This window comes from Homo sapiens, chromosome 8 (genome assembly GCF_000001405.40).
Source record: "Homo sapiens chromosome 8, GRCh38.p14 Primary Assembly".
Classification (NCBI taxonomy): Eukaryota; Metazoa; Chordata; class Mammalia; order Primates; family Hominidae; genus Homo; species Homo sapiens.
In genome coordinates this window covers 115,547,776-115,573,243 of record NC_000008.11, presented here as the reverse complement: position 1 = coordinate 115,573,243, position 25,468 = coordinate 115,547,776, and the positions used below count along the sequence as shown (strand labels likewise).

Below are 25,468 nucleotides of genomic sequence, written 5' to 3'. Positions count from 1 at the left end.
TGTCACTTGTCAAAAGTCACCCAGCTAGTGAATGGCTGGATCAAACTGGATCATGTCCAAGTAGCCTGGCTTCAAAGTTCACACGCTTTACTATATTTATTCTTTTTTTTTTTTCTTTTGAGATGGAGTTTCGCTCTTGTTGCCCAGGCTGGAGCACAATGGCATGATCTCAGCTTACCACAACCTCCACCTCCTGGGTTCAAGCGACTCTCCTGCCTCAGCCTCCCGAGTAGCTGGGATGCGCCACCACGCCTGGCTAATTTTGTATTTTTAGTAGAGACGGGGTTTCTCCATTGTTGGTTAGGCTGGTCTCGAACTCCTGACCTCAGGTGATCCACCCACCTCGGCCTCCCAAAGTGCTGGGATTACAGGCGTGAGCCACGGAGTCTGGCGTATATTTATTTTCAGTGTATCATTAGCAGAATTCTAGAGTCAGCTGTTCTGTGAGGGTAAAATAATGAAGCTGGTTTTGTACTTACCAAGTTTGTAAGGCATTCAGATGAAAATATCTAATGGATAGCTGGAAACGTAGGCTGTCATAGGGAATAGAGGAGTTGGAATGACTTCCAAATTAACTAACATTCATTTAATAATTGAATATAAACTGAAAGCCTAGTTTGTTCAGAATATTATAGGAGCAGCATTACCATGACTAAGCTATAGACACTGATTCTTTAAGACTTTTGCAAACCAGTAGCAAAAATAATGTTCAATAAACCGATTACAGCACAAGAAAAAAAGAGTGTCAGGTACCACAGAGTGAGAAAAAACAACAACAATAACAAAAAAAAAATAGCAAAATGTTGTAGAAATTTAAAAAAGGAAATGACCCCTTCTCAATTAATCTATCAAGACAGTGTTCCAGAAGAGGTTGCTTATCAGTTGGTTCTTGAAAAGTGGTATTTGGAAAGCTTAAGAAACATAGTACACTAGCCTACAGAGAATCTAAGCAGAAGTTGAACTTTTCACTCCAACTAAAAATCTATGTTAAAAAAAATGAGTGAGGCCCCCTCTGCAGTGAAAGTTACTATTTTGACATTTGTGAGATCAAATTTTAAGATCCTCTGGGTATGTCAAAGTCTTTTCGTAATTGATAGGATTCAGAAACACCACAAAGACATGCATGCTTTAAGTATCTTATTGTAACCAGCTAAACTAAAAGAAGAGTACGTTTTAGAACAGAAGGTGGGTATTTAAATCAAAGTCTAAAATAAAAATTTAATTGTTTAATTATGTAAATAACTTCAAAACGTTTATCTTCTTTTAAATATATAAATATATATGTAGGGTGTGTATATATGTAAATAGCGTTTATTCAGATATAAATAAAAAATAGCCCTACTACTTAGGGTCGTATATACATATTATCAAAGAAAAAAATATACATGAAAAGATTCTTGAATACCCATTTAAAAATGAATGCCGTATTTACTATGCCTGTTGGATAGATTCATTATATATAAGAACTATCAAATTTTAGTTTTATGTATTGGTGTTCTGATTTATTCGCTAATCATTTCTCTTAGATTTAACCCAGTGGCTTATTTTCAAGTCTTGTTTAATGTCTTATTTTATAATTGAGGAAAAAAGAGAAATGCTTGCCTGTGATATATCACCTGTTGTTTAATCGCTAACACTGTTACATATCTTAATACTGTATCACATTAAGTCATTTTAAAAGCATTCTGCTTTCCCTTTTGTTTAAAATTCCTACGATCCCTGGGATATTGGTAGGGGGTTAATGGAAGTCTTGATTAAAATCTTCCAAGCTTTAAGGCTTTCAGTTCTTGTAAACAATTTGGATCTGAGAGATAGGCCTATTTATGACTTTTTACTAGCCTATTTACCCATTTAATGTTAAGAAAAAAATATGCTTATTAAAAGTTTTGTTATAATAAGTACAAATTAAAATGTCTTTTAAAAAATCAGCCACACTTCGTTGTGTGATGATCACAGAATTTATGGTAGTTCTTTTGAAAATTGTCTGAAGATGTATTATAATCATTTTAAAAGTAAAGGAACTACCCTGAGTATACCAATTTTCCATTATTTTAAACAAACCTTTTAAGTTTTATATCTAGATTGCTTTTAAGTAGTTATTTCCAAACTTGAAGGACTATGAACTCTAATCATAATCAATCTGCACTTGTGTCATAATAGCTAACCTAACTATATAGTGGGTGAAAGTCTTGGAAATAGGTAACAATACAGTTGGAGTTTACACTTGGGCTTACAGGCCCAGTCCAGACGATTGATCCAGTGGACCAGCCCAAGCTAGTCTGACCTTTCTTATGGCTGGCAACACTGACTGCACAGTATTCTGGTTCGGTCAGAAGTCTTGGTTATTCTATTTTTAATGAACAGACATGCTGAGTTTCAAACATGGTGGTTTTGGTTTACATGGGATTGAGTTGGCATGCATGTAGTTTCCAGTTCTTATGATTTTAAGGTATCAATTTCATGGCAATGTTGGGGTTTCTGTGATACTCCCTGGGCTTGAAATTGAAGTTCATTGAAGTGTGAGTGTGTGTGTGTGTGTGTGTGTGTGTGTGTGAGTGTGTGTGTGTTTTTTTTGAGGTTTTTCCACTAAAAGCAAGGAGCTTTTAGACAAGTATGGGACACAGTAGAACAAAGATATGAGAGATACTGCAAATACTAGTTCTTTTAATTTATCCATTTGCAAATTTTCCTCCTTTAGCAGACTGAGAGCTCCTGAGGGCTGTGCATTTTTATATTTTTGTTTCTTGTTGGCCCTGTTATACTGCTAATCTTTTAGGAGGTCTAAAATCAATATATCTTTAATGGAATAGAATTATATGAGGAAATATGCATTTTTTAAAATTTGGAAAACCATATTTTATTTGCTGTATGAGACTGCCGTACCGCCTGTGTAAATTTTCTACCATTAAGATTATAATTATAAATTGATTATTATTTGTATACTCTTTTAGGACTGATGAATTAGTAAATTATTACTTTGTGCATTATTTCCAATAACCTTTAGGGTATAAGATTATCTAGTGAGTTACTTACTCTGGAAAAAATCAATTACAGCAATTTAGGGTTCGTATAACAATAAAAAGGATTTGAGCTTTAATGGAACATTTTAACACTTGGCATGTATCTATATCTACATATATATCTATATATATCCCTTTTTTCTGAGTTATCTGGTGAAACAGAGATTTCTTTATAGAATTTTGTGACACAGGAATCTAGAGACACAATCTGCCAGTGCATTTCTAGGTTTTAAAAGTTTCAGTTCAAACCTAAAAAGTCTATTTGTTAAATCATGACTCCAAAATTTATTTTTTATATACCTTCTTTTTTTAATAAAATTGACTCTAGGTTCAATTTTGGTTGAACTTAATCAGTCTTCTTTCTACACAGCTATATTATTAGTTTATATAGAACACAGTGCTGGCAAGTGTTGAAACAAAAATGTGAAGAATGATTTACCATACCAATATACTGCTTCCTTCTAAAGAAGGGAGATATTTTAGAATATTAGATACTGGGCTCAAGATAACCAGAAATGTGTAATGGGACCATTTATCTATATCATTTTATGGCCAAGTCAGAGAAGCAAAGGCATATAGCCCAGAAAGTGTGATAAGAAGAAGAGAAAGATACTAGTAGATTATTATTCCTTAAGTCTGCAGCATGACTTAACTAGAGACAAACCTGGATACGAGAACTTGAAAGCTTTTGTGAACTCAGGAATGCATATGATGTTTGTACTACAAACTCAACCTCATCATCTTAATCTCTTTGCCTAGAAGAGATGAATAAAAGTACAGGTTATATTTATGAAACTGAAATCTATAAAGGCATGGAGCTCTTTTCCTCAAGTGGGAATTCTTGTGTGTTTATTTGACCCTTTAGCAAATTAGTGGAAGTAAAGGAGGGAGAGAGGGTATAGCTGTATGGAAATAAAGCTGGTGAAGTATTCTGCTCTTCTGTTCTTCTTAGTCTTGATGGTGAACCATGCCTACACTATACTATCACTCTGGTACCAGATTTATTGCCTGCCAGGATTGGAATTCATGCAGAGAGGAAGGATTCATGAAAAAAATAATCAAAGTCAGGAAAGTCTTTTTCTGTAATCTTGTCTCATACAGTGAGTTATTTTTGTCTGGGTAGTTTACGGGGATGTAACTCCTTCAGTCATCTAACCGTGATGTAGTAAAAGTCATTTGCAGGAAATGAAACTCCACTTTGTTACTTTTTTCACTTAAAGGCTAATCTGATTAGCTTTAAAACATTTGTTCATCTTTTAATTCAGTATTTGTATGATGCCTATGGAAGACATATGGATTTAAATAGAACTTGGCTAACCATCTGCCAATAAGAGAAAGTGAGATGCTAAATCAGAGAGGCAGGAAAGTCTATTTCAGTAAAAGCTATTTTGATCTGAAATACTGTAGGCAGTCTTACAGAGTATTTTAATTGGGAGGATATTGATGCATGCTAGTAAAAGAAGTGTATTTGCTGATATGGTTGAAGTTATGTAATCATTAAATTTCTATATAAGTTTAGAGATGTGGAACTATGTGAAATTTTGATCCTGTTAATTATAATTTTTTTTCCTAAAAAAGCCATTTGTGGAAAAAAATTTTCTGATATATTTTTTAGAGCAGTGGCACGTTTTATATCTCATGCCAGAAACTAGAGCATAAAATATCAACTTTTCAAATAAATTAACTAGAAATAAAGAACAATTTATTCAGTGCTAATTTGTTGATAATTTTTTATAGTAAACTATGTTTTAAAAATTTAACTTTGGGGAAATTAGAAAGAAGAAAAAGAATATCTTTTCTCATGATGGTAAAATGCTGATGTATAAAGCTGAAAAATTTACAATTATGTCATATTTATGTTTTAATTTAAAATTGTGAGAGTTTAGAGTCATGTAAGCATTAAGAAAGATAAAATATCTGAATTATATATATTTGCATATATGTGCATGTATATACTATTCAACTTAACCTTTATAAATAAGCCTTATTTTTATTATTCAGATTAATTGTTCATTCTTATATAAAATGTGTCTGGCATTTGGTTTTTGCTGGGGGAGTACAATAATACATGGTATCTGCCTTCTGGGAAGAAGTACAGTAATGGGTCAGGAATTAGGACAGTCACTGTCAGTCACAGTCATCATCTCAGTTAATCCTCCAAATAACATTATGATGCTGGGCATTGTCAACTCAATTTTATTGATGGCACTAAGGTATAGAAAAGTTAAGTAAGTTGCCCCAAAATAACACAACTGGTTTAAAACTCTCAGTATGAGAGGTGTTGAAACCATAGCCTCTTACAACTAGAAGATCACTGTATTCAATACTCTAATCCCTGATATATCATGAATGCTGAAAGAGGATTTAGACTCTACTACACAGACGCCCTGAAAGAGCTGCAGGAGGCACAGGGAATTATATTAACATAGTGGATTGCACGTTAGGGACAGAAATGGACCAAGGAGCACATGAGAAGTCCACATTGATAGAGGTGCCTGGCATGGGCTCCCCTTCTCTGCCCAGATGGTGTTGGTGTGACCTGATGGGTGGCACCTTCTTGACAAGGATCCTTGCTTTAGATATTTGGAATATTTTATGTTATCAAGCTATTTAGAAATTTTAAGTCACTGCAAAAGTGCTCATTCCAAATTCTGTTTCTTGCCTTTGTCTTGAATCCATATCTGAATATTTAGGAAGATTTGGTATTGGTATAGAGAGGTATCAATTTGGCAAAGATCCTTCTTTGCCAAATTCCTGGAAGTGGAATTGCTGTGTCAAGGACAGTGCACCTGAAAATGTGGACAGGTAATGCCAGATTTCCCCACCCCCCTTTCTAATAACAGTGAATGACCTGAGAAGTAATTGTGTCCATTTAGAATTTCATTAGATTACGATGGAAATGAAGGTAGAAATGAAGAATCAACATGTGGAAAAAATATGTCTGTAACTAGGAATTGATGTACTGAGTTTTTCTGTCCATGTTGATTTATTATTCCCTTGATGGCATTTTTGAGACCAATTATTTCAACATGTGGTGAATCTTTTTATTCATCTGTCTCTCTGTATCTGGAACAAGTATATCTTGGATATACCTGAGGCCTAAAACTTGGTGTTAACCAGACTTTCCTCTCTATGGTGTAAACTGCCATAGTTGGCAAGAAATATTCCAGGGAAAGCAATGTAAATTTTCTCAAATGAGAAAGATGCGTGGGTTTATTTAGGATAAAAAGCAGAGACATAAATGCTACAAACATATATGGTATTAGAATGATTATTACATTTATCCTATCAGGTTTTGAAGCAGTATTATTGCCTTAGTTTCTTGCATCAATTTTTCTCTTCATTTTTCCATCTTATCTCTTTCCTTTCACAGAATGGTTTGATGAAATTATAGGCACTAAACCATTTTTAATTACAGATCTCTTGAAAACATATCATCTCACTAAACTTCGAGGCAAAATGAAAATGTGTGATTATCCCAATTTATTAGAACTTTTGTAGCTGTCTTAAATTTTTACAGATAGAGGTTGAAGTTGCCATTACTTAGTGAAGAGTCATTGTCCGTGGTTTGAAGAATGAGTGACAAAATTAATCAAATTCTGTTTTTTTTTCTGTTTTCTGATTTCTGGAATATTGCCATTTTCCATATGTTTTTCTGACCTTAGGAATACCAGCTGGCTACAAAAAAAAAGAAGAAAGAAAAAAATGCAAAAACAACAGCAAAACTCAGAAATCATTGCTTCCCTAAGCCATGCCATTGGCACTGCCCCTCCCTTAGTGCCACATAACCTGGAGCTCACTAGCAAGGTTCTAGATCTGCATCACTTCCATTTTCTATTTTGCCAACTGGCCTTGAGCAACAGGTGTGTATTCTTCTTGTTGCTGCAGGCTTGAAGGAACTGTAGGGTAGCTTCTGTCCACAATTCTGACCACTTGCCTTTTGGCAATCTGTTTAGTGACTTTAGGCTCTTCTATCAAGGCCATCTTGTAGACTGGGGGGTTGTCCAGAATTTTATGATACATGCAACATTCTGACCACCTGCTAAGACTTAAATGAACAGACTACATGTAGATATTCTTTCTTTCTCTCATACTTAACTTTTGCCCATGCACATTAGTATCAAAGATGTTATGGTAATTCAATATGTACAGTTTTCTTTAAAATAGGATATGGCCACGAATTTGCTAAAATCTATGCCATGGTATGAGGATAACTTACATGAAAATATGGTACAAGATTAGGTAAACAGTGTTGTTCATATGAGAACTTAAAAATTCCCTTACCTTGAAGTTTCAAGTAAATGTCTTTCGTCCTTTTAATTTGGTGTGATAAGAAATATTGCCTTTGGTGTAATCAGAATTATGTAGCATGATGCTTCTTCTTGGTGCTGTTATTTTTACTGCAGTAAATATTTATTTTAGTTGGCATTGTTGAGTTACCTCATTTGTGAGCACAGCTAGTAAAGCTATGGTTAAATTTTATTGCTTTTACTCTTAGAATCACTTTCTCAGCTAGTTTACCTTGGAGAGACAACTTTACGTTTTCCACCAAATTAAAGAAGCTGAGAAAATTGGGTGGAATTTTTTTCTTTTTTTTTCTGTTTAAAATGTGGTTACTTTGTAGTACTTTGGCGAACTCACTAATGTATGTATGAAAGCACACGCTTATCAAATGGAAAATAAAATCAAAACAATGAACTCCAGTATGTTTAGTAATAAAGAAAACAAAAAAAAAAACCTGTCATTTTTTCCAATGCAATTAAATACAAAGAGACCACTAATATTACATTTATCTAATTCATGTCTTCTCGGCAATATGAACCATTCAGATGTTCCTCCACCTCTTTTGAGAGGGATGTATGCTGTCAGACTTTACCAATGGGATACACAGTTGGGGTTTTGGAAATAATTTTGAATCTCCTTGCAGGGTAGCCTGCTAAAAGACAGGGTTGTAGAACCACTTCCGAGGGCCTTCTAAACTTAAAAAAGAAAAACACCTGTAGCTGTCAGCACTACTTTCAGCAAACAGTCCACATCGTTATGTGTCATTTAACTGCTTTCTGCTTGTCAGCAGGAGTCTTTGTTTCACACCTAAGAGTTGTCACATCAGAAATCAGAATAAAGGCCTAAGGTCTCTATTCCCACGGGGCAGTAACATGTTATGTATTATTTTCCTCTAAGTATTCTCCATCTACTCAACTCTCTCCTGGAAACCTACATGTTTATTCGAAGCCCCTATATATATAGTGTAGGGTATGAAGAAAAACGTGTTTGGCTTTTTAATGACAGTCTTTTCAAGTGTATGTACCATTATTTATAAACCTATGAATGTAACATTCAGTGGAGTTAATGTGTTCACAAGTATACCATGAGTGTGGATGGTGGCCAGAAAAGTATTATTCCTGAAAAGAACACAACTATGTAAGCAACTCCTGTATTTTGACTACTTGCTGTAGATAAACATGCTCCCCTCATCCAAGTCTGCTACAGGAGTGGACAGAAATCTTGGGGTACCAATATTGTGAGGGGGTTGGTTGAATTCAGCATTTTGGCAACAGAAACTGGAAAGAAATAATTGGCGGCCCATACGGTATGTGTAATGGGCACTATGAGCTGTTTAAACGTACACCAATTATTTTGAAGCTTTCCAAACCCATCTGTCACCATATTGTCTAGTCACATGACATAGAATTGTCATTTCTCCCTGCATAAACTGATACAGTTACAATTGATTTTTGCTTCAATCGTTTGTATAAATAGACCTGTGTCATCAGGATCTATTGTTTTTGTTTTGTTTTGCTTTTGCTTTTGTTTCCCCTACCAGTGATCTATGGTACAATTTACTTGAAAAACAAAAACAGGTATAGCTAGAGGGCCACAGCATAAAAAATAAAATTAAGTATTAAAGGCACTTAATATAGGGTTAAAAAATACCCTGTGAAAGCTACGGCACATCTTTTCCAATGTGTACAATTGAGTCAAGAAAGCATAGTTGTATCTTTATTGCAAATCTAATAATGTACCCCATAGTATTGTATTTAATCGCTGCTATTTTTCTCTCCTATTCATCATTGTGTAACGTGTAATTTGACATAAATTCCTGGCCACTGACTCTTTCTGCGGTGTTGGCAGGCTCAGTTCATAACTGGAGGTAATTGGAGTGAGATTTGAGCACTGTTCACTGCAAGAACTGAACAATGTTTAGGATACCTCTGATTCTCGTGAGAATTCTGTGGGGCATAAAGGGGAACATGAAAGAATAGGAAAGTGCACTTTTCTTTTTTTCCAACGGTGGCAGAATCAGGAGATTTCTTGGTAACTGATTCACTGGTTCCTGAGTCTGTTTTACCTCTGGCAATGTTAAATAAACCCAAGACTGCATTGATTTCCCTTAGAAGGTGTATACTCTAGCAGTACCCATTATCATTGCATGAGTTATCATAACACCTAATACCTCAGCTGGAGTTTAAGCATTATGACAGCTTGGGAACTTAAAGTGAGTACAGTAAAGACTTTAGGAGGGCCTGTGAATACAAGTTAAAGATCACGTGGTTGGCTCCCATGGAAGATTTACATTGTTAAAGTAAACTTGTGTGGTCACTTTGAAGTCATAGATTTTCCATATAAATTAATGAAGAAAAATAAATTTCTCTAAGATAGTGTTTCTCTTTTTACATTTGCATGAGAGGAAATGAAACAGTATAAAGTTTTAATTTCCCCACCTTCTGGCTAACCATCGGTTTAGTGATTAGCAGAGGAGACTTTTATATTAGGTTTGGAGCTCAGTTTCCTGGCTGCAATTCATTGAACCTTGACGTAAATCTGAAATAAGTATTTTGTAAGGGGTTAGCCTTTTGTGCAGGGTGTGTGAGAAATCCTGCTGGACCAGGTTGGTTACAGAAACTAGTGTCAAGTTGCCTGTGCCCTAAGTGGTGAATAAGAAAATGCAGACAACAGAAAAGTAGAAGAAAAAAATCTTCCTAAGAACACCCTCACCCGCCACTTCCGAAAGCCTTACTGTCTACCTTAAAAGGACTTGCAGTTCTTTTTAGTGATGCATGTTTGTTGGGTGGGACGTTTTTTCTTTTTTAGAAATTATACAGTCATTGCTAGTGGGTAGAGTGTGTCAGTACAGAAGACAAGTGTTTCATTCACATAATCCACATGTTGTGTGGTGCTTGTTGAGGCTGGTTGCTTTGCATTTAATCTACTCGATCATGCTATTTGCCTTAGGTGATCAGCAACCTTTAATGTAAATCCTAGCCAATCTAATAAACTAATGGAGAGAGAGGAACACCACACACACACACACACACACACACACACACACACACACACACACACACAGACACTGTGGGTAGGGGGAGTAGGCATGCGTTCTTTCATGGTTTATATCCACATTATCTTAGAAGGTAGAAAAGTTATGTGCCATCTCTCCTTTGATCTCTCCTTTGATATATATGCTCCTTTTTTTCTCCTTTTGTTTAAGTAAGTACACTATATTGTTTGGTAATAGAAAAAGAACATCTTATCAGCGCAGTGTCTTGAACTTGGAAACTTGAAAAAAAATTCAAAATTTTGTTCAGCCTGACTAGTCTATATTCAGTTAGTCTTAAAATTGTTTTAAAACAAATCATGTTACTAAAATTCAACAACATTTTTTCCCCTTATATAAACTGCAGTTCAGTATTGTTTAAGCTTTTTTTTTTTTTTTCCTGGCAATCACACTGACCAACTGTTTTGAGTTTTGGATTATTTTGGAAAAGAGAAGAGGGAACAATTCTTGATAATTCCAATTACAGATTTGAATTAAGTACTAAAACTTAAAAATGTGGTTTTTTTAAATAAACAACTTCTTTAAAATATTGAAAAAAGTTAGGAAAATTGATGAAAGTGAATAACCATTTTCTTTATCCATTGGAACAATCAGAGTAAAGAGACTATTGAAAGCTTCAAAATAAAGGGAATGGTCTTCCTCTTTGATATAAGTACGTTTAAATGGCTCTACAGAATTAGGATTTTTATTTTTAATATCATTGGTCTATTTTTTAAAATTACAATGTTTGTTAAGAGGGTGAAATTATACTTGCCTACAAAAATTTACCTTCTCATACCTCCTTTCATGGAGCTTTTTATTGTTATATTTGTTTTGTTCTTACTGCTATCGTCTTGATGTATTATAACTGCTTATTACTCAAGGGGCATTTATACACGTACTGGGAAAACGTAATTCTTCGTTCATCATTAAGTTTTGAAAAATATTTTTGGATTTGTCGATCATGATCTGCACATGATTAAGGTGCTTGGCTTCCCTTCCCTCTGCAAGCTCAGTTCATATTGGTAATTCCTAGGTTTTTGTTTTTACTAGCAATTGTGTTCTTTTTTTTTTAGATGGGGTTGTAAGTTTTTGGAGTATTCCAGTACATGCTTGATGGTAGTATTAATGGTGGTCAGAACAGGTTGGGTACTTTTTCTTGCATTTTTCTTGCATGCATTCGTAGCTGTGCATGACTGGAGCCAGTAGCTTGACGATGCACACTGAGTATAGATGGATCTTTAGACTTTACTCAGGTTATCGTTCCTCCTGTAGCAGGTTTCGTTCAATTTATCCTACTGTAAAGGTTACCGAGGGTAAAATTCTATTTCCATTACTTAATAGTGTTAGGTATTGTGTTGTTGTTGTTTCTACATGCCCCCAAATTGCACCCCTTGTTGCTACTGGAGTTCCAAACTAATTAAGAGAAAAAAAAAAACACAAGATTAAGGAAGTTGAGAGAACAAAATATCACCTTTCATCTGATTCAGCTAGTGTTGAAGAATGTGGCTTGTCCTGTGTTCAGATCAGCTTCCTAAAATTGAATTTCACAGCCTTGTAGAAGTAGCTCATGGCTGCCTTGTGTGTGCCAGAGACCCCAGACTGCACATACAAATGCCAAGATGCACGCCTTGCCTTCACGGTGTTTTCAGCCTGTCAGGGAAGATAAGCCATGCACACAGATGCCCAGAATATAGGTGAAGATTTGTAAATGTCAAATGCAAGGAATAAGCATTTCAAAAATTGGTGTAATATTCACACTTCTCTTACTTTGTACCACAGAGGTTTTGTTTATAAAATATTTTGAAACATTCACATAGAAAGCGTTCTGTTAGGACAAAGTAATCGTTGCACCAGTCCATGATTAATGTTAATGTTCCTTTTGTCTTTATAAAAATAAAGCTGTGGTTTTCGTACTTTGAGTTCCAGTAAATGTGTTAGAGGTAATGAGGTAGGAGAATGTTAACGTTAAAATCATAATAAGCAGAGTTAGACTTTTATTGTTTACCTCCTAAAACAAGCTTTCTGCCTTTAAGCTGAAGTTTTACTTGGTGTTACCAACTCAGTAGGGATTTTTATGCTAAACTGATGGTGTTTAATACTTCAGCAGTCGAAAGAGGAGTGAAAAATCGTTACTTGTTTTCCTACCATGGTGTCTGCCAGGTAGCATTGTAAAAATCTAAATGTGCCTTGGGTATCACTCCAGGCCATTCATCCAGTCCAGTTTCTGAAAGGACCCTGCATTTTACCCAGAGTTGATAAAAGTAAACTTTGTAAGTTCAGGAGCAGGGGCAGTTTACACCAATGTACAAATTTTACTCACAATTTCTTAAGTTAAAAGTTTCTTTTAACTTTTCTCACAGTGTGGCTAATTTTGCATTTGGGACTCCCTAAAATGGATTCAGCAGCATTTCCCTGGAATGTTCAAAATAGTTCAAGGCACAAAGTAACCTAGATATTTAAATGGCCCCTTTACACCTTAGCAACGTGGTTGTTATGATTTTATGAAAACAGTCTTTGTTTCTTTTCTCTGCTAACTTCTGGCTTTAGTCAGCAAAGATTTCTCTGCCTCATTAATGTTGTAAGGACTCTAAATAAAATTTTTCTTCGTGGATTCCTTTTTGGGCAGGCCTGATATTGATCACTGATTTAATGCTTCTAGTTTCCTGACCTGTTTTATAAATTGTGGGAATAGCCTTTTTAGATTTTGAATGCCCACAGTAGTCCTCTTTCTAGCTTTGGGAAATGATTTGAGAAATGAAGGAATGTTGATTTTATTTTTACTCTACTTTGAAAACAAACAAACAAACAGATTAATCAGATTAATAAACAGCAACATGAAGGTGGATGGAGCTGAGAAGAGAGTCATCTTTAAATTCTCTTAAAGTATAAGCAACTCATTCTTGTGCTTTGGGAACCTAGTGCCTCCCAAGAAAGTCAAGATGAAGATTTGAAATGTATACATTTATGACTCAGTATTTCTATAAGTATATAATGTTAGTAAAGGAATTGTATAAAAAGACTTAAAAGGCCAGTTCATCCATCCATTGTCTGTTATTGAAGTCAACAACTTGATGATTTGGTTTCATATAAAAGATGTACACCTGGGGGAAAGTGCATTTCAAGGGCACTTTCAAGGGTAAGATTTTACAGGAATTTGACATTTTTTAAAAAATAAAATCTTTGGAAATTTGATTCCAAATTTTAATTCATTTATAAACTCTGTATTGCCCTAAAATGATTTTCTCATATGGCATCGAATGTGATGAAGCTAGATTCATTCACACATTCAATAAACATATATCAGTGTCTGCTGAGAGCAGGGCTTTATGCTGGGTACTGGGTATTCAGTAGTGAACCATACAGAAATATCTCTCATGGCAGTTACTTCTTCTGTGTATATCTGAACATTCAAGGGTAATAAACATAAACCATTTGTGGTGCGTGAGACCTAGGAATAAATCAGAATGAGCTCACACCTACTTACTTCTTATTATAACCCTAAGATTGACACTTTATGAATTTAGTGTTATCCAAATAATGATGCAGTATCAAAGATGAATACCTAGATTTAAAATGCTAAAAGCTTGTTTTAGAAAGCCAGTGAATAATGTACTCTCACTTTTGTATCAATATTTCAAGTGCTGCTGGGTAACATATTGAAATGCTCACACCAGCCATGGATGATAATAAATATGGCATTTTTATTAATGTTAATAAACTGGGTAGCATAAATGGAGAAGACATCTTCATAGGATTTCATAATGTATTTTGTTATTCAGAAATATTAATGTACTTTGTAATGCTGATGCAGTAACATTAAAGAATAAAAGACAGAGGTTTTATCTTGAAATTGTATGGTGTTTAGTAGATTTTGAAATGTGGATACATTTAAAATAAAGTTCAAGAGCCCCTAAGGCAGCTGATAACCACGGGTATTCTGATAGCAATGTTACCCCTTAACATATGAATTTTTTTAGGTATAGCATCTTTGTAAAAGTGGTTTTAAATTTCATCTCCTTATCCTTTAAAAAAATACCACATTAGCATTCCAAAGATTCTTTATCATTTCTAGTTATAGCAGTTGTTTTATCATTAACACGGTGCTTTCTTATATCTAGCAGGTTTGATTCTAGATAATTTGATAACTCCAAAAGCGTATGCAATTTGTCATAAAACTATGTTACAGAAATATAATTGTAATTATGGATTTGAAAAATCTTAATTGTACAGAACCCCACTGAGTAGATGATGAAAAAAAGCAGTGATTAAGTACAGGCCAATAATGGGAAGATATAAATCCACAAAGTGAATTTTATGCTTCCAGGAGTAAGTGTTTTTCATACTTAATTGCTAAAATGCTTTGCAGCACTGAGAAGAAATATTGAGAAGCAAGATTAGTTGTGCCAAACTATAACCTTGAATTCTATGGAAAACCAGTGCCTGGATGCCTTAGTGGCTCAGCCTCTTTATCTAGGGGAGGTAGAACAGCTAGGCTTAAGCCTCGACTGGCCATTCCTTCCCCACTGGCTTGTTTTCTGATTTTCATTTATAATCATCTGGAAATTGAAGAGCTTTGATTGAACGCCAGTGGGAGATTTTAGCTTTATTTCATCAACCTTTCCCAATATTAACAGTAAATTACAACTATCTTTATTACTGCTAGATTAAGTTAAATTATAGTAAGATGGTTTATCATCATGTGTCCTTTATCCCTGGTCTTAGACTAGAGTTTACAGAATATCTCACAAATTTGAAGAATAATATACAATGTTTTATCTGTGTTAGCAAGAAATGCAAAGCCTTTTTTTTTTTTTTCCTGTCTGTTTTGTGAATTGAGCTTAGAACTGTCCTCGTAATTAGAAATCTGGTTACTTGGATTCTAAGCTTAGAGTTTCTTAGTTTTAAGAACACATCACCTCATAATTGTACCATAATTATGAACGTTACAAGTAGTAGTGTTTTTGTGTCTCTTACTGTCAGTGACAAGCAAAAAATTCGCTAGAATATATTACTCTTCCCTAACTCTGAGATGGAAGACAGATAATAGCCATGGTGCTTGAAACATGTGGTGCTATTGGGATGGGAAATTGTAACAGCATTTGACATGCAAGGGTCATGTTTGCACCTCTTCTTGGATCCAGTGAAAATGTATTAGTTCATTCTCACTTTGCAATGAAGAAATATCCAAGACTGGGTAATTTGCAAAGGAAAGAGGTGTCATTGACTCACAGTTCTTTATGGCTGGGAAGGCCTTAGGCAACTTATAATCATGGCGGAAAGGGAAGCAGACATGTCCTTCACAAGGCAGCAGGAGAGAGAAGAATGAAAGCTGAATGAAGGGGGAAGCCCCTTATAAAACCATCAGCTCTCTCAAGAACTCAGTCACTATCACAAGGACAACAAGGGGTAACTGCTCCCATGATTCAATTACTTCCCACTGGGTCACTTCCATGACATGTGGGGATTATGGGACCTGCAATTCAAGATGAGATTAGAGTGGGACATAGCCAAACCGTATTAAGAGGCTTTTAGATTTTGGGGGGAAAAGGAGAAAGTTTCATTGTAGTCATGACTTACCATCTTTTGAGTTTGAGACATATGAGGATGAGAAACAGGGTCTTAAATAACCAGTGATATAGTTTGGCTGTGTCCCCACCCAAATCTAGTCTTGAATTCCCATGTATTGTGGGAGGGACCTGGTGGGAGTTAATTGAATCATGGGGGCAGGTCTTTCCCATGGTGTTCTCATGATAGTGAGTAAGTCTCACGAGATCAGGTGGTTTTAAAAAGAGGGGTTTCCCTGCACAAGCTCTCTCTCTTTGCCTAATGCCATCCATGTAAGATGTGACTTGCTTCTCCTTGCCTTCCACCTTGATTGTGAGGCCTCTTCAGCCATGTGGAATTGTAAGTCCATTAAACCTCTTTCTTTTGTAAATTGCTCAGTCTTGGATATGTCTTTATCAGCAGCATGAAAGCATACTAATACAACCAGTAAACTCCAGCACTGAATCTGTTCTTTGCATGGGCTGACGTTTAAATTGCTAGGGCTAAAAATGCTAGGGATGAGGTAATAGGAAGCTTGGAAATGTGGCATACATGCATACTTAGCATCATAAAAAATAGGAAATGCCACTAGACATGATGAATTTCTGGAGATCTTAGACAGAAGTGTTCCCAACTTCATTAAGTTGCCAGATTTGCTGAATAGATATTTGTGTGTAAAGGACTCAAAAATACTAGGAATATATAGCAGTAGGATACACTACTTGGCCTAAGAAACATGCAGTCTGTTTTGTAAAGCAGAACACAGGCACATGAATTGGCACAGGAATGGCATTTGCCATCCTTTTAGACAGATATGGTAGCAGTATACCATATGAATATCAAAAGAGCACAGAATAAATAAAGGACCATGGTTTTGAATAAAAGGACGTTGATTTTCAAGACCTGTACAGTTGACTCCGAGAGATTTAAAGCTAGGGTCAGTCTTTGGATGGAGGATATGCAGGCATTGCAGGTGTGTTAATAGGCAATTTAAATATGCTGCTTATCAGTCAGTAAAAAAAAGTTCAGAATTTAGAATATCACAGTATTTCAAAGCAGCCATTCAGGCATATTATCTTTGCCATCAGTTTCTCTGTTAAAAAAAATAGTTTTGTCATTCTGTAGTTTTTAAAAGACAATTTCAAAACTTTCAGGGGGAAGCAATAATTGCCAACAGGAACCTTGACACCTAGAGGTTGCCAATGTGATCAGCCTTTTGAATGGTAATCTTTTACCATCCCTGTTTGAGATCCACATGTAGAGTAGTTGGGATATATTGAAATCACACTTAGTGTCTTAGTCTTGAAAGTTCTTTTTACTTTATTTTATTTTATTTTTTTTCAGACAAAGTCTCTGTCGTCCAGGCTGGAATACAGTGGTGCAATCATGGTTCACTGCAGCCTCCCTCCTCCCAGGCTCAGGTGATCCTCCCACCTCAGCCTCCTGAGTAGCTGGGACTACATAGCAAGCCACCATGCCTGGCTTTTTTTTTTGTTTGTTTGTTTGTTTGTTTGTATTTTTTGTAGAGACGAGATTTTACCATGTTGCTCAGGCTGGTCTCGAACTCCTAGACTCAAGCAATCTGCCCACTTAGCCCCGAAGAGCTGAGATTACAGGCGTGAGCCACTGTGCCCTGCTAGTCTTTAAAATTCTGCAATAGGTTTAGCAGTGTCTTAGCAGAAAGTGCTATTTGAGTGCTGGCGACTGGCTTGCATAGTGGAAATATACTGGCCTGAGCTCTGCCCACCTGACCACATACTGATGTCATTATCCTCCCTTCATCAACCCCCTCTGCTTCACATAGTCTTGTCTGAAGGGAATGGGTCAGCTGGAAGAAAAAAAAAAAGAAGTACTTGCCAAAGAAATCTGTTTTCTAAAATCCATAGAAAAGGTCATTAATGTTTCATAACATATTGGAAGTGTTCGGAAAAACTGTTAGGTTTTCTTTCTTGTTTTTAATAATTACAAAGGAATTCTTGATGTTGGAAGTGAGAAACAGATGTTGAAATAATCAGTTTCATTTACCTTACATACTCCTACATTTAGGACATGTAATCTTAAGAGTCCGATTGAAATTCTACCTGATATGAAAGAAATTCTACCTGATATCTTACTGAATGTTCTAAGAGCGAAGTTAGCAGTACAGAAAAAAAACCAAGTATATTTTTTAATTGGATTATCATTTAGGAACTATCCATTCAGAAGACTGTGAAAACTGTGATTGTTAAGTGTCTGTTAAACTGTGTTTGCCTTTGACAGTTAGTAGCTTCTAGGGTTTGGGTGTTTGGGGAATGTAGCTCCCACAGATACTTTGGGAAGAGATAGGAAGGTATCAGTAACTAGGAAGTAGAAAGAGAGTCCCTCAGTGTTTGAGGTAGAACCACTTATTTTCGCCCTCTTGCCCTGTTCCATTCATGCTCATTGTCAAACTGGTCTCAGTCACCCTGTTCTTCCCTTTGTCCTTCTCCTCACCTACCCCCGGGCCTCTCATCTCCCTCTTCACACTGGCACGCCTTTCAAAGGGCCTTCTCCTCTGAACCTGTGCCATCTAGAGCAGCTGCCCTTATCTCAGGACTCCATTGACTTGCCCCCTTTTCTAATCTGTTTGGAAGCCTTATCTCTTCGTTTTGGCCTCTACACTGTAATTTATTTCTGCTTCTATTATTACATTGATAAATCTCACATTTAACCAGACTTTGAGGGATATGCTGTTGAACTGATGTAAATCTTGAATCGAAAACTGCGGTGCAATCCTCATTGGTCATAATGTGTGGGCTGTTTTGCGCATAATAACTGATGGAGGCATCTCAGTTTTAAAGTTTGAGAATGAAGCATTGTTCAGTTTTGTCACCCTGAATCAATCATTTTATTTTGTGCATTGTTTTATCGTGATGTTTTTGGAATAAAGATTGGTTCTAGGAAAGGGGTGGGTCATTTCATTTGGTGATAACGGAAATGCCCTTCTACTTTTTAAGTGTCTTTGGTATGAGGTGGGGCCCTAGGTAGGGCCTGGATGTCTGACTGTCCTGTCATTTTGAAAAGCTCCCTTTTAAGACAAGTGGGACTCTACTCTTAGGTTATCTCTGAGGACTTGAAAGAAAGGGAGAAAAAAATCCTCCCCTATTATTCATTAATGACTAGAAATGCTGAGCCAGTTTCACAGATTTTCTTCTCTTGTTTGCTTTTCTATTAATATTAAGAATGCTTTTGAGGAACTAGTTTAGTGAATGGGAAAGCAATAAACACTTTTGTAGAAATGTTTATTAATATTTCATACTTTTAAACATTCCACACTCTTAGTTTCTTTAAAATTAAAAATGTTTTTATAACTTGTAGTATACAAATACATTTTAAGAATTTTTGGAAAAAAGTAAGTGTTTAATAAAGACTATAAATTTGGAATTCAAGTTTAGCAAATACTCAGCTATCAGAGCCTGATAATAAATTCATTGAAGTGTTAATTGTATGAGGAATATCATGAACTCCACATATTCTCTATTTATAATCAGATCACAAATTTAGATGATTTTCCAAATTTTAGCTATCACTTTCTAAAGGATTCAACAGTCTAATATAAATTTATTTACCTCTATGCTACTGTGAAAAAGAAGAAGAGCAATGAAAGTTTCTAATATCTATCATCAGAGTATCTTAGCCTAGAAAACTAAATGTTATTGAAAATTAAGCTGCTTATATATGTTGTGGTGACATTTACATTCTCCTAAATAATTCATTGTCTATTTACTTATGACTACTTACTTATCAAAGCTACCTTCATATCAAAGAGGAAAATAGAATATTGTACAATAACATATATTATCATAAACGATAAGCAGCAATAATGGTTTTTAACTAGCTAGAAAGGTTTTTAACAGCGTGGTCAGCCTAAACTTCATGTTAGTATATTAGTGTGTTAGTTAAGAAACTACTTTTTGAAGGATTTACATATACCTATACATAGAGTGAGTTAAACATTCAGAATGTGGATAATTCATTTGTTGATTCAGTCATTATTTATTTTTACAGACACTCTAAATGATCAAGATTCTGATCTGGGCATTGCAATTACAAAGTTGAAATATGCAAGATTCCTGCCCAAGTAAAGGTTACATCTCAATAATCTTGGTAAAAAGCAACAAAAAATACTACTTACTCAACATAATAAAAAATTTTAATATATTATGATTTATATAATGTTATGTATAAAAATATGTAATTTTGGTACTGTTTAAAAATCAAGGTTTTATGTAAACTTAAAATTGGCCCACTATCATTAGGACACACGCTTTGAGTTTCTTTAGTAGCAGATGTAATACTTTTGTGAATATTCGTCTTATTCTCTTGGACACCTTATCTCCCTATTAGGTAGTGATGCATTTTTACATTTCAGCATTCTAGAAGTGTGTAGTCTGTGACCATTGTACTAGGTCAAATTTAATTAGTTATTTCTTGGATGAACCTTTCACTGTGGATATTGCCAGGATTAAAGTTTGAAGGTAAGAGGGCTTTAGGGGGTGGGGGGAATTGCTGACAAATAAAGTACCTTCAATGAGTTGTATAAATTGGAGATTCAGTTTTTATAAGAGCTAATGGGAACACTTATTATAACAACCAAATGGTTACAAAAATTATAAGAAGAGTGTTATTGATATAGCTCAAATATGGTACAGTTTGCAGTTTGCTGGTTGTGTTTAGTTAAGTTACCAAGGAAGTTACTATGCTACAGTTTTTAATTAAAAATACTAATTTATTTATTTCTGTACTGTAACAAAGGGATATATTGCATAAATGATGGTCATTTGCTGTATAATATATTTCTGTTGAAAAGTTATGCATAAAATTCTTAGTTTAATATGCATTTGATTTTCCACTCATGATTACTAATCTTTGCATTAAAGTAACAGGATTATTGCTTTTTCATGATGTGAAGGGATAAAGTGGTAGGAGTAAACAACAGATCAGAATATCTTTTCATTTTTTTTAAAGAGGTGAAATGACTCCCTTAACAAATTCCAGCATTTTTAGATTGTAAAGTACATTATGTAACTTCATTCATCATGTAGACCTCAGACAGATACTTTAATTTTTTTTTGAAAAGGTCTTGTAGCACACTTAATCTGCAGATCTTTTCTGGCAGGAGGAAAAAAAAGCATATACTGTTAGATTTGGTGACATAAAGGTCAAAAGATAAACTGTAAGTGATACCTATGTTTATTTTTTTGACAGTGTTAAATTAGCAACCCCTCAGACCTCTCTTGGAGCAGTACAACCTGAGTAATTGAACATGTCGCTGGGGAGTATGCTTGGTTAAGCTGATTCCTATTATGTTGACTTGTCAGGGACCAATAATTAAAGCTGAAGAGCGATGCTCATTAGTGTCTGCAAGATGATTCGAAGAATGAGAAGAAGTCCTTGAGGCACACCTGCAAAAGGCAGGCATTGCATGGAGGTGAGAGCAGACGGACTGGCCTGCTTTTCTGCTATGTTAGCAAGCCAGCGATAAAGGGGATACACTAAATTAAGTGTTGCAAATGTATTCTCCCCAATTTAGATTATAAAATGCATTTTACTTCCGCCTTTGAACATAATTTTATTCCAATTTTATTCCATGTAATCATATTTTGCTCAATTATGCTTTTAATGCTATATAAGATGTTTTAGAAACTAGATATAAGTCTATTCAAAAGCACTTTGAAAAACTTTATACTATGAATCATTTCATTCATTTTCCTGGAAGCATCATAATAATCAAAATCTGCTTTGCTTCTTTGAACTCTCAATACTCTGCACGTAAAACATGTGAGTTATCCAGCTTTGATGATAAAGACTTTAGTGGCATACATTTGTCACATTTACTTCACAAAAATGGAATTTTTAAATGTGTATTTAACACGTACTAAACCACATACAGTATACAAGCATTGGCTCCCGAGAAGGCCAGAGGAAAACACTACATCATAAGTATAGAATTTATATTTATCACAACTTGAGCAAAGCTGTTGACTTTTGGAAACAATTCAAACTTTTTAGCACTGGAATGATACAGAAACTCAATCCTAAAGCTCTGAGAAGCATTTTTCTTCTTTTGAAATTTGCCTTAGGTAGGCTCACTTTTTACAAATCTATCATAAAATCATGGGATATACAAATATCCTAATATTTTGGAATATTAAGAAAAATAATTTATTGGATCTTTTTTCTGTAATCTGGTTTTGAAAAAAGTGCTTTATAGTGGTGAAGTGGCCTTTTTACTTCCAGTGTTGTGCCTGTTAAATTTATCCTGTGCACTTTGGCTGGAGGGATGCATGTGCCTTTTATTCAGAGTGAAGGCTGGAGTCTTTACACAGAAGTCCTCCGTGTTTGTATCTTCAGGAGTCACTGTGAGATTATCTCTTTGAAGAGGCCCTTCCTGAAACTAAACTTTGTAGAACTTGTATTACTGATATTCCATGTTAGCATGAAATTGTCCGTGTTTCGGTTTCCTCCAACTGAAGGAAGTCCCTCAATGGAAGGGACTGATTCTCGCTAATGTTTACATGAACAGTGGTTGGAGCTCAATAAAAGTTGGTTAAACTTAACATAGTCAAGGTGCAGAAGAGACTTGCAGGGTAGTTATAGATTTCCAAGAATACCAAGGGCTTTAGAAGTCAAATAGAACAACCTCCAACTCAATGTCAAGAATTTCTTACAGGATGTTCTTTAACAGATAGGTCCTCTCCTGGCTTGGTAGAAGATTTCCAGTACCAGAGAGGTCACTACTTTGCAAAGTAGCTGTTTCTAGATTGATCAACTCCAATTTATAGTAATGACAAATGGTAGTTAAAAGAGTTGTACTTTATATGAATTTGCATTAATTGTCATTTAGTCTTCACAGTATCCTTAAGATTTAGCCACTAAATATGATTATCTTCATTGTACAGATAAGGCTCCTGAACTTCAGAGAGGTTGAGTGACTTACCCAAAGCCCCACAGCTAAGTAGTGGCTGAGCCAGCATGAGAGTCCACCAGTATCTGACTTAAGAGCTGGAATGCTTTGGCATCATAGCCCACAGCTGCCCCTCTTTTGTTATTGTTACAGAACTATTTTTAATTACTTTCCTTTAAAAGCCCCACAAATCATTGGTTGCCATTAGAAATCATTCTTTTTTGAGACAGAGTCTTGCTCAGTTGCCCAGGCTGGAGTACAATAGTGAGATCTTGGCTCACTGCAACCTCCACCCCCGGTTAAGCAATTCTACTGTCGCAGCCTCCCAAGTAGCTGGGATTACAGGTGCCCACCACCACGCCTGGCTAATTTTTTGTATTTTTAGTAGAGATGGGGTTTCGCCATGTTGGTCAGGCTGGTCTCAAACTCCTGACCTCAGGTGATCCACCCACGTGGGTCTCCCAAAGTGCTGGGATTACAGGCATGAGCCACCAGGCCCAGCCTAGAAATCATTTTTGTTTTGTTTGTTTTCTTTAATAGAGCAAGGAGAGACTCTTGCAACATTTGTTACCTATCCAGGGTTACTAGGACAGCATTGCCCATCCTACAATTGCTGCATAGTAGTGGTATGAAAAGCACTCCCCAAAACAAATAGATTCTTGAGTTTATCCAGTAAAACTCTAATTTACTCTAATTTAACACTTCCTGTGTCTTAAATCTTAACTCCAAAGGGCTGTTTTGTTTAGCGTTTTTTTTTTTTTTTTTAATAGAGTATTATAGTAGAGAAGCTACTTGACCAAGGTTCCTAAGTCTGTCTGAGTAGCTGCAAACATTTGGGCGAACTACACAACTCAAGGAATATAGATAGCCTTTTCAGCTGTCAAAAGGGGACAGGGGAATCCCTTTTCTACTAATCGTCCATCTTTGATATTGGAGTACAATGGACTATATATGAGAACATTCTTACCAATTGATGTATTAAAACTTATAACTTTTGCTTAGAAGAATTTATGGTATTGATGTTATCATCTTATACAATATGATGTTTTCCTAGGACCTGTCATATTGGAAACATAATTGATATTGACTCTTGTTACAATTATATAATGCTGAATACATATTCATTTGCATGAAAGAGATTGACAGTGATTGAATTTAGCAGGATCTGTCATAAGCCTTGAGCATTCTTTTCTTAAAGGTTCCTGATAGCAGGGGGTTAGGGAGAGATGTTTAGACATTTCAATTTTTTAATGAATTTATTGATATACAGTAGGAACAGTTCGGCTTTCACATTAATTCATACATTTCAAAGATTTTTCTTTGTGATAGAATGATGTAAAGCTATTATATATTCTGCCCAGAATGTCTCTCATCTGTTTCTTTAAAAAACGTTAAAGCACCATTGAACCAATTTTTACGGTACTATTAATCAGTGTAATCAGTATTAATACACTACTTTACCAGCTCAGTGCCACTTGTCAGTAATATGACAGGGTGAATTTTACATCTTCTTCACAAAGGCTTTCATCTATTAGGGAGAGAAAAAGGAGATCAGGATTTTAATTGTTAGCAATCAGAAGCCTATGTGATTAAGACAGGCATTCTGAATAAGACACAGCACAGATTATACTGAGAATATTTTTCATCCTTTACTAATTCTTTTATGAATTTGAATGTAGTCTTATTTACCTGAAACTTTAATTATAGACTCAAAGGAGAGTAATATGCCTATTAGAAATATAAGAATTTAATGTTAAAGGTTTTAATGTGGTTCTGGCTGGCTTCTTTCTCTCTTTATATCTTGGCTTGCAGTGTTCCCAAATCCTCAGGTTTCCTCCAAATGAATGTTGTTGGCCAGGCACAGTGGCTCATGCCTGTAATTCCAGCACTTTGGGAGGCTGAGGTGGGCAGAATCAGGAGTTCGCGATCAGCAGGGCGTGGTGGCGGGCGGGGCACCTGTAATCCCAGCTACTCAGGAGGCTGAGGCAGGAGAATCGCTTGAACCTGGGAGGCAGAGGTTGCGGTGAGCTGGGATTGCACCACTACACTCCAGCCTGGGCGACAGAGTGAGACTCTGTCTCAAAAACAAACAAACAAAACCCAAAAAACAAAAACAAAAAAATGAATGTTGTTGATTTGGTTTCTAAAATGCCCACAATTAAAACTTGATTTCTTTAGGTTTAGGATTATTTATATATATGTATTTTTTGAATCTTGCTGTGTCACCCAGGCTGGAATACACTGGTGCAATCATGGCTCACTGCAGCCTCAACCTCCTGAGTTTCAGTGATCCTCCTGCCTTAGCCTCCTGAGTAGCTGGGCTTAGAGGCATGCGCCAACCACACCAGACTTATTTTTTTTTTTTTTTATGTAGAGATGGTGTTTCACTACGTTGCTCAGGCTGGTCTTGAACTCCTGACCCCAAGCAGTTCTCCTGCTTCAGCTCTCAAAGTGCTGGGATTACTGATGTGAGCCACTATGCCTGGCCAGGTTTAGGATTATTATGCGTAGAAGTTTTCTCTTAAAATAGAAGTGATCCTTAGAGTAGCCACAAGTTAATTTATTTCTAGTGTTTACAACCCAGCACAGTTTAGTTCTCAGGTAATTAATTCACTGTTCAAAGTAGACAACAGGACACAAAAGGAAAACCGAAATAAGTGC

General features: G+C 35.6%; 1 protein-coding gene across 4 annotated transcripts in view, besides 1 other annotated feature; it reads left to right on the top strand.

Annotated features, from left to right (window-relative positions):
• TRPS1 (transcriptional repressor GATA binding 1) overlaps nucleotides 1-25,468 on the top strand; it is a 260,480-nt gene that overhangs the window by 95,732 nt on the left and 139,280 nt on the right. The window lies entirely within an intron of this gene.
• Nucleotides 7,811-8,367: an enhancer, noted in NCBI's record as "NANOG hESC enhancer chr8:116577104-116577660 (GRCh37/hg19 assembly coordinates)". NCBI's record gives its function as "activates a minimal SCP1, AML or CMV promoter by ChIP-STARR-seq in primed H9 embryonic stem cells {active_cell/tissue: H9 hESC(primed)}" and the evidence as "EXISTENCE:reporter gene assay evidence [ECO:0000049][PMID:30033119]".